Below are 11,068 nucleotides of genomic sequence, written 5' to 3'. Positions count from 1 at the left end.
GGGCGGCCTACAAGACTGTGCTGTGGTGACAGGCTGAATAGGTCAGCAGCAAGATGACAGAGCACCAAAAAACACAGATTAGAATGGGGTCAGCCATCCAGGTGGCTAGTGGCTACTGCCTTTGTCGATGCAGATAAAGAACATTTTCATTCCTGCGGAGTTCTATGGGGCAGTGCTGCTCTAGAGGCTGACATTTCCATCTTCAGCACTTCCCCTGGCTATTACCTAGGTTCATTCTGCTGCTTCCACAAGACAAGGATGGAAAAGGATGCCTTAGAGCAATGGTCAGCAAACTGTTTATATAAAGGGGCAGATAGAAAACATCTGAGGCTCTGTGAGCCATCCAGTCTCTGTCATAATCACTCAACTCTTACATTGGAGGTAGGGTGAGAGCAGCAATAGACAGTAAGTAAACAAATGAATGTGGTTGTGTTCCAATAAAATTTTATTAACAAAATATGACAGTGGGGGGGCCACAGTTTGCCAAACTTTGCCTTGGAGGACATGCAGAGGCACCCTCAGAATTCAGTGAAAACCTGCTCCCATATTGCTAAGACTCATGAAGTATAATCTCTCACCTTCTTTCTCTTTCCCCTGCCCAGGCCCTAAGTTAGGGTTCCCATCCATATAACAAAGACTTCTGGTCAGGTGGCATTTGCTATCTCTGGGATTCCCTGCCCATGAAAGCCACAAAGAGATTTCTTCTTTTACACACCCTGAAGCATATTATGGCCCCAGCAAGGCTAACTAAATCAAACTGTGGTTTAAAAACAAAACAAACCAACCACTGTGAAATATTTATTTTTGTTTTGTAGTATTAAGCATGATTAAACCAGTGCAGAAAAATACCAAGTACATTGGGTGAACGATGAGCTAGCTGTTCTAGTATTTGCTTTTTGTAATCCAGTTAAGACCATCAGCATATACAACATCATCACTAACTCAACAATGTAGCTGCAGGGTAACATGTGGATACCCTGTGTGCTCTACTGGCCTCCAAAGGCATTCAGGGGATCATCAAAGATGTTGGACACCTTGTGTTCAAATCTTGGTTCAGGTGCGGCCTGTGCAGATCGGCTTTTTGGTTTGGTTGTCTTAGCCTGGATACCAGAGGAGAAGATGTCATCTTTAGAAAGAAAAAAGAAGAACGGTTGCTGAAGAGGGGTGGAGAAAGGTACTTTTAAGACACATGCAAGCAAACCACCAAAGACCCAGCTCTGGTAACAGCATGGAGTACCCTAAAACACTAACCTAGAACTCAAGCCTCTTAGATTCTGGTTCTGTGTTTGTTACTCATTAAATTTTATGATCACACACAGGTTTCTCTTGGAGCACAATTTCTTCAGCTACAAAAGTGTATGTATGTGCGTGTGTAGGACAGAAAAAAGGGAAGCGTAACTTGATCTCCAAACCAGCCCACGCCCCTACCATCAGGGACAATGGACTTATTTAGATATTCTTTTCATACTGGGTTTTAAAAGAGCAATAAAAATACGCAAAGGGAAATCCAACATAGGACCCACCTGTTTTCTTTCAGAATAAATGCACTGATTTGAGGCATCTCGATGTAAGACTGTAAGCCTCCGTCACTGCATTCTTTTAGTGTTTCACTGACTCAAAAGCTTGTCTTATCTAATTATGGTACTTACCCAGTAATGTTACTGCTAGGGTTTTATCCAACCATGATTTAACATGTATACATAAAGTTAGGTGTACACAAATGGTAAAGACCACAGCATTATTTGTAATAAAGAAAACAGAAACAACTGAGATTGCCGTCAACAGGCTAATGGCTAAATACAAAGAAATCGTGCACACCACTGAAAACAAGGAAGGAGATCTCTATGTACTGACATGAAAAGACATTAAGTAACTAAAAGACAGAGCAGAATAGGTAAATATATTCTTACTTTTTAAAAAGGTGGGTATATATTGATGTGTACACAAACATATATTAATATCACTGTGTCTGAAAGGATACACACCAAACTGTTACTATTACCTCTAGGGGTTATTCACTTCTTACATTTTCTGAATTGCATGAATCTATTACAATAAGCATGTATTACTTTTTTTGTATTTAAAATAATGAATGAGTTCCCTTCTGCACTCCATGTGGCGGGAAGCAGGGGAGACAGAGCACACGGCTTGCTGGAGGCACAGAGCCAGTGTGTGACTCTGCAGCACCAGCTGTCTCCCAGTTAGTCTCAAGGTCTAGATTGATGGGGAGAGTAGGAAATGTGTATGTGGCCTCAGCCCACAGGATTTATCAAAAGTCCAATATTTAGGGTTCTCGGGCATTTGCCTTGTCTACTAATAAAGCAGAAGTTGTGCCATATAAGGAAGACAAGCTTGTTCCCAAACACCAAAGACCTCAGTGAAATGCAACGCCTGAGGTAGAGCCTACACCCAGGTCTAGACTTGCTCTCTTCTCGCACAGAACCATGGACACTCCCTGTCTATCTGGAGCTCTGACTCAACCAACCACATCACACCCAAGGCAGTCCCCTCAGCCTACTTTAGCACGTGAGGTCATTTCTGATCAAACCTCCTTTCATAACACCGGGGTGTGTCACAGATGATTGGTGAGGTGCACTGAGATCAAAGTTAAATTATACTTAAACGTCAAACTCTGGGTGCCTTCAAATTCTTTGATGACTATCATAGGAAAGAGTTACTTCACTAAAATAATTAGTCCATCTCTTACCTATCTTCAGCCTAACTCAGGATTACACTGAAGTGAACCCGCTGGGGTGCATTTTCCAGAAAAGGGCCAAGAAAAGGTAGCAAGAAAAATACCAAGTGACAGAAAGGTAAGAATTCTCTAGGTCAGATGTAGAAAACCAAACTTACCCATATCATCATCAAATATAGACTTGGCTTCCACTTTCTTTTTGGACTTTTCTTTTGGTTTTACAGTTAAGTCAGCAAAGATATCAATGTTATCATCAAATAAATTAGATTCCAATGTTTTCTCCTTCTCTCTGGTTTTCTGAGAGGGTTTAATTGCTTCCGTAGCAAATATATCATCCTTGTTAAGCCAAAAATACATACAAAATAATGTTAAATCAATTTTTCTTTTTAAGCTCAAACACAACAACGAGCTATGGAAATACAATTGGCCAGGGTGTGTGGAACAGCCTCGAGACTGCCCACTCTGCCTGGGATGCACTACCCCAGATCTCTGCACAGCTTGGCCCGCCCATCTCACCCCGGCTCAAATGCCGGCACTGCAGTGACACCTTCTCTACCAGTCCTGCCTAAAGGAGCACCTCCCAGCCCTACCCACCACTCTGCCCCAGGTTATTTTCTTCATGACACTTAGTACTATTTGAAAACATCTTAATTATCCATTGCCCTGTTTGTATTTGATTATCTTCCCAGAGAGCTCTGAGGAGCCTAGCACTTCTCTGAGTTCACCTCGTGCCTGCAGTCCCCAGGTGCTCAATAAACATCTGCTGAGCAAATGCCACTGAAAGTCTTATTGCCTGCATGCACTACATTGTCAGCTCCAGCCAGGGCCAATGTCCCCAGAACCAGAGGTTAAACTCCCAAGCTGGACCAGTGGAGCTGTATGCCATGTCACCGAGTGGCATGCCCAGGAAGCTGATTACAATATTCTATAAAAATAAAAAAACTGTAAAAACTAGAGAAACCAAGACCAGTATCAATGATCATGGCCAGCCAAGAAATACAATCTACATGCAACAAAACAAAAAACCACTTCTGAATCAATGTTAAACTTATTAATAAAAGAGCCTAATTATAATTACTAAGCAAGTGGCTATGGGGTATGCACGCAACAAGCTAGACATAATCTATGGCTCAAATAAGCCAATCAGATACCTTCCTTAACTTAGAACAGACACAAAAACGTGTTAAGTCCTATTACCTCAAAAATATCTTGTGTTGTTAATATGACATCCTGCTGACTATTGGATTTTGTCTCATTCTTCTTGACTTTCTGATCTGTAAAGAGGTCATCCTCATCTTCCAGGAGAGGAAAGGGATTTGTTTTCTTTGCTGGTTTTGGTTTAGCAGACTGAAAGAGATCATCATCACTGCTGGCCTCACCTAGAGCAGGAAACATGGGGCTCTTTGCTTTACCACCCACTGGTGGGTTGGCAGGATTCTCTGCTATCTTTGCCTTGGGTTTTGTTCTCTCCACAGACTGAGATCCAGTGCCCGTGGAAAAGATGTCCCCAGAATCAAAAAGGTCAGCCTCCCCTCTGGAATGACCCAGAGACTTTGCAAAGGGGCTTCTGTCCACTCCAGGCACAGGACCACCTTCCCAAGGTGCAGCGGCAGCTGCCAGGGCCTCCTCAGTGCTGTCTTCTCCACTGGCTGCTCTGAGCTGTGGCCGATGGCCATTTGGGGAAATGGCGCCATCAGCCCACTGTGCAATGGGTCCTCTGGGGACGCTCATGTCCTCAGTCTCGCTGGACTCCTGAGCAGCCAGCCGCCTAGCTGCACGGGTCTGCGGTCTACGCTTCCCTCTCATCTTGACACGGCTCTGCAATGGCAAAAAAACACACATTGATCTGACGATAAAATAAAGTGTTCAAAGCTACCATGGCAAAGAATCAGTGACTCAAAATATTGTAAGGTTATCTGGTCTACTTCAATGAAGATATTATCTAAGAACATAGAAGAGGTTATTTCTTAATGATTTCCAAGGAAGGAGTTTAATAGCTCCTAGTACTCCAAGACTAAGTCATTCTTAATCCTTTAGAGTTCTCCATTTTTTAATCTTCTCAGGGCAGTTTCAGTTCAGTTTCACACAAAAAGTTTTATCTGTTGCTGGAAACCTGGAAAGTAGGTATGTTGGCTCTCTGTCTCACAACCCCTCCCTTGGCCCCTACTCTACCCTCAATAGAAACGTGGGTATCTTTCAAAACAAGAAAGAATCGGGGAATTCTGGTACTAACCTTTGTTAGGGGGCTAGTCTAAATTCAGGCTCCAGGAGCGGGGAGAAACATGACACAATAAAGAGAGGTAATCTAAGGTGCTGTTTTCTTCAAGTCAATAAACATTGAATTCAAACGTTAAATATTCCACATAAGAAATATGGCTTAGAAATCAGAACTTTTCATATAATCTCAAAACATGAATCACTTAGTAGCAATGATGCAGTATTTATGATAGTTTCCAAAATATACAATCAAGTAGAATTTTGAGAAGCTACAATCTACTTTGGGCAAAGTATGATTGTGTTGTCAACTTCAGGGGAATGTCACAATTTTAGTTGCCAATTTAAACTTAACTAAAAAAAAGCCAATGAAAATTCTCTTTAAAAGGAAGGCGGTTTTGTTTTGCACAAGGAAACAGGTTTGGAAACATTTGAAATGAATCTATTTGCCGGGGTAGGTCATTCTGTGTCCTGTCGCTTACTTGGAAATCAGCTAAAGCTTTCTAGAGAAGGGAGACTGGATAGAAACAAGAAACCCAACTACAATGAAAGGAAAACTTCAAAGGGTTCACAGTCCATTGAGGAGATCCCATGAAACAGTGTCGCTGCTGTGGGAACTTGGTGCGGGGAGTGCAGGGCACAGTCACAGAAGTGGGGATGTGGAAGCACAGCTGTGGACAGAGAGGAGCATTCCTGGTGAGGAGGCAGCAGGAGCCTTGGGCAGCAGCAGAACAGACCATGTGTGTTCAGGGAGTGGCACCTGGTGTGCCTGGAGTCAGGCTGGAAAGTGTGAAGTGACTAGTGAGGAAGCTGCACACATGGGCTGGCACCGATTGCAAAGGGGTTTCATACCAAACCCAGGAGCCCGAATGCTCTCCTTGGAGTAGTGAGGAAGCGCCAGCAGGAGGGGCATGATCTGCTCTGTGGTTAGAAGACCCCCAGGTGGCAGTGCTGGAAACCTGCAGGTGTCAGACACCAGCCAAAGTGGTGAGACGTTACTGTGGCTACTGAGCAGAATGCAAATGTACCAAATGCAGGCCACGGAAAAGCAGGTGCAGGATGAGGGGGGTGGGGAGAATGGAGTGGGGAGTGGCTGAAGGAAGGATGAGGCACCTCCTTCAAAAGGAGAGTCAAAGACTGCTGTGTATGCAACTGATAAACTAGAAAGAAGCATATGCATGTTCTGGTTAAAAGAAGAGAGCAAGGAAGCAAAGATGGTTTCATCACCTTGTTTGCACTGTGTAAGGTGTCTGCCTGAGCTGGAAGATCAAAACTCACACCGGCCTCCCCACTCCCGGGAAGGACAGGCACACTTTCCAGACCGTGGCTCCTTCTGTGTTCAGATGAAGGAAAAGCCAATTCTGGCAAAACAGGCTTTACTTCAGAGATCTGGGAAGCCGCTGTGGGCAGCAAGGCCGCTGGGTTGATCGCTAAATTTGCCTAAAGAAGAAAAATGAAACTCTGTATTTGTTCTTCAACACAGCAGTCTATTATCTTTATTGTGACACATGACAAGATTCGGTGCACATAATGTATAATACGAGAGGAGTAGAGAAACGTAGGAAAATCGCCCGATCTAGTCTCAGAATTAAAACAGAGCGTCTTACACCTATGCCCACCACTGGGCTCAAAAAATAGATGTTAAAGACGCAGCACACAGGAGACAACAACTAGGTGCAGGGGAGGGGAGGCGGGGGAAGAGATGAGAAGATGCTTGGCAGCAGCTGACAAAAGTAGGAAACCCAAAAAAGTTTATAGATGCCACAGGGCAGGCAATGAAGATTCCAGTGTTTTAATTACTTGTATCTTCCCGATCCGAGTGGATGGTTCTTTGGTTTTAAATGGAGCGAGACCTGATGAGTCCTGTGTAAAATTACATCCAGTTAAAAATCCATTTGGGAAACAGAAAGACAAGTGTTTCTTATGCCTGTAAATAAATCTGTGATGGAGCAAAACTGTCACTTTCTGTAGCTCTTTAATGGGAAAGGCATTCAAATCTCTCCTGGGGCCTGATGTTTCACTAGCACTACTTCACGTATGCCTCCTCCTCTGTCACGTAAGTGGAAAGCTGCCAGATCAGATATGGAGTCAAGGAATACAAGATGAGTAAGATTCCCAAGAGTCACAGTTTATCAGAGCACCTAAAACTGACCAGCAGGCAAAATTACCATGTTGGTTATCAAATAGAAATTTCAAGGAGCACACAAAAATTCAACCATAGCCTAATGCACTGGCTCTAAAAGCAAAAGATCTGAGCCCCAGGAAGGGTCAGTGGTGATGTGTTCGTCCAAGTGCCTCAGGTTTACGGCTCAGGACACTAAGGCTTCAGTGAGACACCCTGGGACACCTGCACGTGGAACTGGCACTCGCTCTCCAGTCCTGGGCTGTTCCCAGGAGGAGCTCCACAGCGTTCTGGGAAGACTGCTGCAGAGTACGGCCCAACAGCAATGACCTTGGGAGAGGCAACACTGAGAGCAGGCAGGAAATCAGATGTAATTTATATTTATTTCTATTTTAATTCTATTCCAAGGAAATCCAGAGGGAGAAATAAATTCTTTAGTGGGAAGAAGATTCTTCATCCTACCTTAACTCCACTTCAGAGTTAAATCTGGCATGGCATCAAAAAACACTAACTATTAAAGTATAGATTCATGAAACTCTGGCGTGTGGAGCGAGGAGAGGGGAGATGACTTGGGGGGAGTGCAGTGAAGACAAAGCGGTAGCCCTGGTTGCTGTTTCCTCCTTAATGCAGACAAGTCTGAATAACTGTGGGTCTGCATAATGGAATTTCTCTGTACTGGGATGCAAACAAGAGCTGAAAATCCTTAAAGAGGATTTCTAACCTGAGGTGTTTCCGGCTTCCATATGCCTTTTTCTTTACTACCTTGAATGGATTCAGGATGTTTCTGGTTTTTGAAAGAGTCAACAGAGTGGTCTTTTTTCACTACTCTCTTTTTCTCTTGTACCTTCAAAAGAAAAAAAATACCAAAAAGCCATCAAATATCTTAGAAATTTTAAGGAAAAATCATAATGCAAAAAACAATCCTGGCTTCTGAGTCTTAAAAATACTTTCTCAAATGAGGGCTGAACCAACTCAAAGGTAGCATTTCAGAAATAGCATTCTGAAGACTGTGGCTGTCACAGGAGTCCTCTCTATGATAAAAAGAAAACAGAGTACTTACAAAAACCTACTGGGGCTGGGGGAGAAAATGACATAGAAAGGCTAAAACTCAGACTCAAAACTTTGCACCTGAAAGGCACGAATATTTAGTCACCCCAGTGTATGCAATGGTCTTTCAATCAACCATTTAAACATCACACAGATGTGCAGTACAGTCAGAGAGCCTGGATTATTAATGTTTTAATGTTAGTATAGGGAACATAAAATGAGGAACAACAGAAACTAAGCATTGCATCCTCCACACACGCTCCCCTCAGCATGTTATTTGCCATTCATTTAGTAGGAAGCAGCACGACTCTCCTAGGATTTTCCTTAATGATCTAACTGGACGTTAGTTTCCTTTCCCAGAATCTTTCCCACACAACCCAGTATTGAGAACAAAAGGCTGGTACCAAAGGCTGGGACTTGGCAGAGCTGAAAAGATCATCATCTTCATCATCCCCAAACAGGCTCCCAACACTTGGCTCTAACAGCTAGAATAAACAAGACCCAAGTTCAATATCCAAAAGCAAAACAATTTACAAAGAGAACTAGGTGAGCTGTTGAGACAGCACCCAATACAATAACAAGTCATACTGTGGGGAACCATTTGGAACTGACCTTGGTTTTTTTGGTGCCAGCAAAAAGGTCAACATCTGGGTCATTGTCCTTTTGGAGCTTGTGGCTGAAAAGCAGCTCTTCATCCTGGAAGACACCTGTGCTCTTGGGGTGGGCATCAGGATCGCGGCCCTGGGAACAGGAGGGAAGGTCATGTGTGATTAGAGCTGTAAGAACTTATCTCAAGGAAGTTACATATGTAAAGATGGACACAACAAAGATGTCCCCTGCAGCTGTATTATATTAGCAAAAGGCTGGCCACAGCCTAAAAGCCACTCAGTAGGGGAATGAAACATTGACAAAATGGAATGCTATGGCGCTTCCAAAAATACCAGAAAATATATTTATAAATACAAAGTTTACATATATATATATGCACAAGCTTTAGAGATAATCTTTCCAGGTTATATATATTATATAAACTTTGTATAGTATCTAAATTTTTTATTAGAAAAGCAATCCATTAGTTCCATAATGAGAAACATTTTGAAGGTAAAAAACATAAAACTGAATGAATTCTCTTCATCTCATTTCCAAAGGGAAGAAGAGACAGCAGCTGAATCAAGCACAAACTACACAGAGTGGTCAAGTATGTGTCCCTCACCTGTAAGCACTGCAGGCCAAAGACCTGGCACAGGTGCGACCACAAGCCTTCCTATGGCTGTCCATCACTTCTGCCCTACTTTCAGACTCCGAGTGAGTCCCTTTTTGTTTACTAGATATCTAACATTTAAAAGTTACCATCAACATTATTGGTTTGATAATACAATGCTCCAGACCTGACATTCTAAAATTCATCCCTATTTCCTTATCACAGCCACAGATTAAAACTTAACAAAAAGGCCAGGCGTGGTGGCTCATGCCTGTAATCCCAGCACTTTGGGAGGCCAAGGTGGGTGGATTACCAGAGGCCAGGAGTTCGAGACCAGCCTGGCCAATGTGGTGAAACCCCACCTCTACTAAAAATACAAAGATCAGCCGGGTGTGGTGGCGTGTGCCTGTGGTTCCAGCTACTTGGGAGGCTGAGGTGGGAGAATCCTTGAACCTGGGAGGCAGAGGCTGCAGTGGGCCGAGATCACGCCACTGCACTCCAGCCTGGGCAACACAGTAGGACTCCATCTCAAAACAAAACAAAACAAAACAAAACAAAAAAACCAAAAAAACTAATGAAAAACTTACTTCTAACAAAATAAATCACATTAACAATAATTATTATTGTTATATATAAAAATGAGTTTAACACAGCAAGTAATGTTAAATATTTCACAACTATGGAAAAATATTACAAAACCATACACAGTAAGAGACTGGGAGAAAATATATCAAATTAATCATATTCACTGTGTGCAGCTCTCATTTATAAATAAGCTTATAGTATTGGTATAACAAAAAAATTCATATAACATTTTTTGTAGAAATAAACATAGACTATTTCTTTGGTTAGATCTATAAAAAGGATTGGCAATCTATGACCTGCCAACCTGGTTTGCATAACATCACCATTGAGATCAAATTCATATACCATAAAATCTACCCATTTACGTATAAAATGTAATGATTTTTTGGTATATTCAGATCTGTGTATCCACTACCACAATCTAAGTTTAGAATATTCTCATCACTCCCAAAAGAAACCCCAAACCATTAGCAGTAATTATCCATTCCTGCTCACTGCTACTCCCAGCCCCCAGTAACTACTAATCTACTTTCTGTCTCCATTGATATGCCTATTCTGGACATTTCATATAAATGGAATCACATAATATGTGGTCTTTCATGACTGGCTTATTTTATTTAGAATGTTTTCAAGGTTCATCCATGTGGCAGCATGTATCAGTACTTTGCCTTTTTTATTACCAAATAATATTCCATTGTATGGATATACTATATTATGTTTAGCCATTGTTTCCATCTTTTGGCTATTACGAATAATGCTGCTGGGAGCAATCATATTCAAGTTTTGTGTGAACATGTTTTTATTTCTCTTGGATATGTACCCAGGAATAAAATTCCGGATTGTGTGGTAGCTTTATGTTATAAGAATTTGAAGAACAGCAAACTGTTCTCCAAAGTGGTTGTACTGTTCCACACTTGCAGCAGCAAGGAATGAGAATTTCCATTTATCCACATCCTTACCAACACTCGTTACTTCCCTTTTTTTTTTTTTTTATTATGGTCCTCTTCCCGGGTATGAAGTGGTATGTCACTGTGGTTTTGGCTTCCCTGATGCTGAGCATCTTTCTATATCCTTTTTGGCCATTTGTCTATCTTCTTCAGTAAAATCTCTATTCAGATGTCTGTCTTACCTATTTTTTTTCAGACAGGGTCTCGTTCTGTCACTCAGCCTGAGTGCAATGGTGTGATCATAGCCCACTACAGCC

At 42.2% G+C, this 11,068-nt stretch overlaps 1 protein-coding gene across 29 annotated transcripts in view; it reads right to left on the bottom strand.

The window, feature by feature from the left end:
- Positions 1-422: 422 nt before the first annotated feature.
- Positions 423-11,068, bottom strand: part of WASHC2A (WASH complex subunit 2A) — a 65,556-nt gene continuing 54,910 nt past the window's right edge. For 11 of the 29 annotated variants that reach the window (NM_001005751.3, NM_001437387.1, NM_001437392.1 and 8 more), the window contains 8 exons: positions 8,691-8,819; positions 8,483-8,563; positions 7,753-7,875; positions 6,710-6,772; positions 6,137-6,349; positions 3,893-4,513; positions 2,854-3,031; positions 423-1,126 (listed from right to left, as the gene is read on the bottom strand). In NM_001005751.3, coding sequence (NP_001005751.1) covers positions 987-1,126; positions 2,854-3,031; positions 3,893-4,513; positions 6,137-6,349; positions 6,710-6,772; positions 7,753-7,875; positions 8,483-8,563; positions 8,691-8,819 — 1,548 coding nt within the window. In that variant the 3' untranslated portion in view covers positions 423-986. The remainder of the gene's footprint in view (positions 1,127-2,853; positions 3,032-3,892; positions 4,514-6,136; positions 6,350-6,709; positions 6,773-7,752; positions 7,876-8,482; positions 8,564-8,690; positions 8,820-11,068) is intronic. The other 18 variants (NM_001291398.2, NM_001437384.1, NM_001437390.1 and 15 more) reach the window with 4 other exon arrangements.

This window comes from Homo sapiens, chromosome 10 (genome assembly GCF_000001405.40).
Source record: "Homo sapiens chromosome 10, GRCh38.p14 Primary Assembly".
NCBI lineage: Eukaryota > Metazoa > Chordata > Mammalia > Primates > Hominidae > Homo > Homo sapiens.
This window is presented reverse-complemented; position numbering and strand designations above follow the sequence as displayed.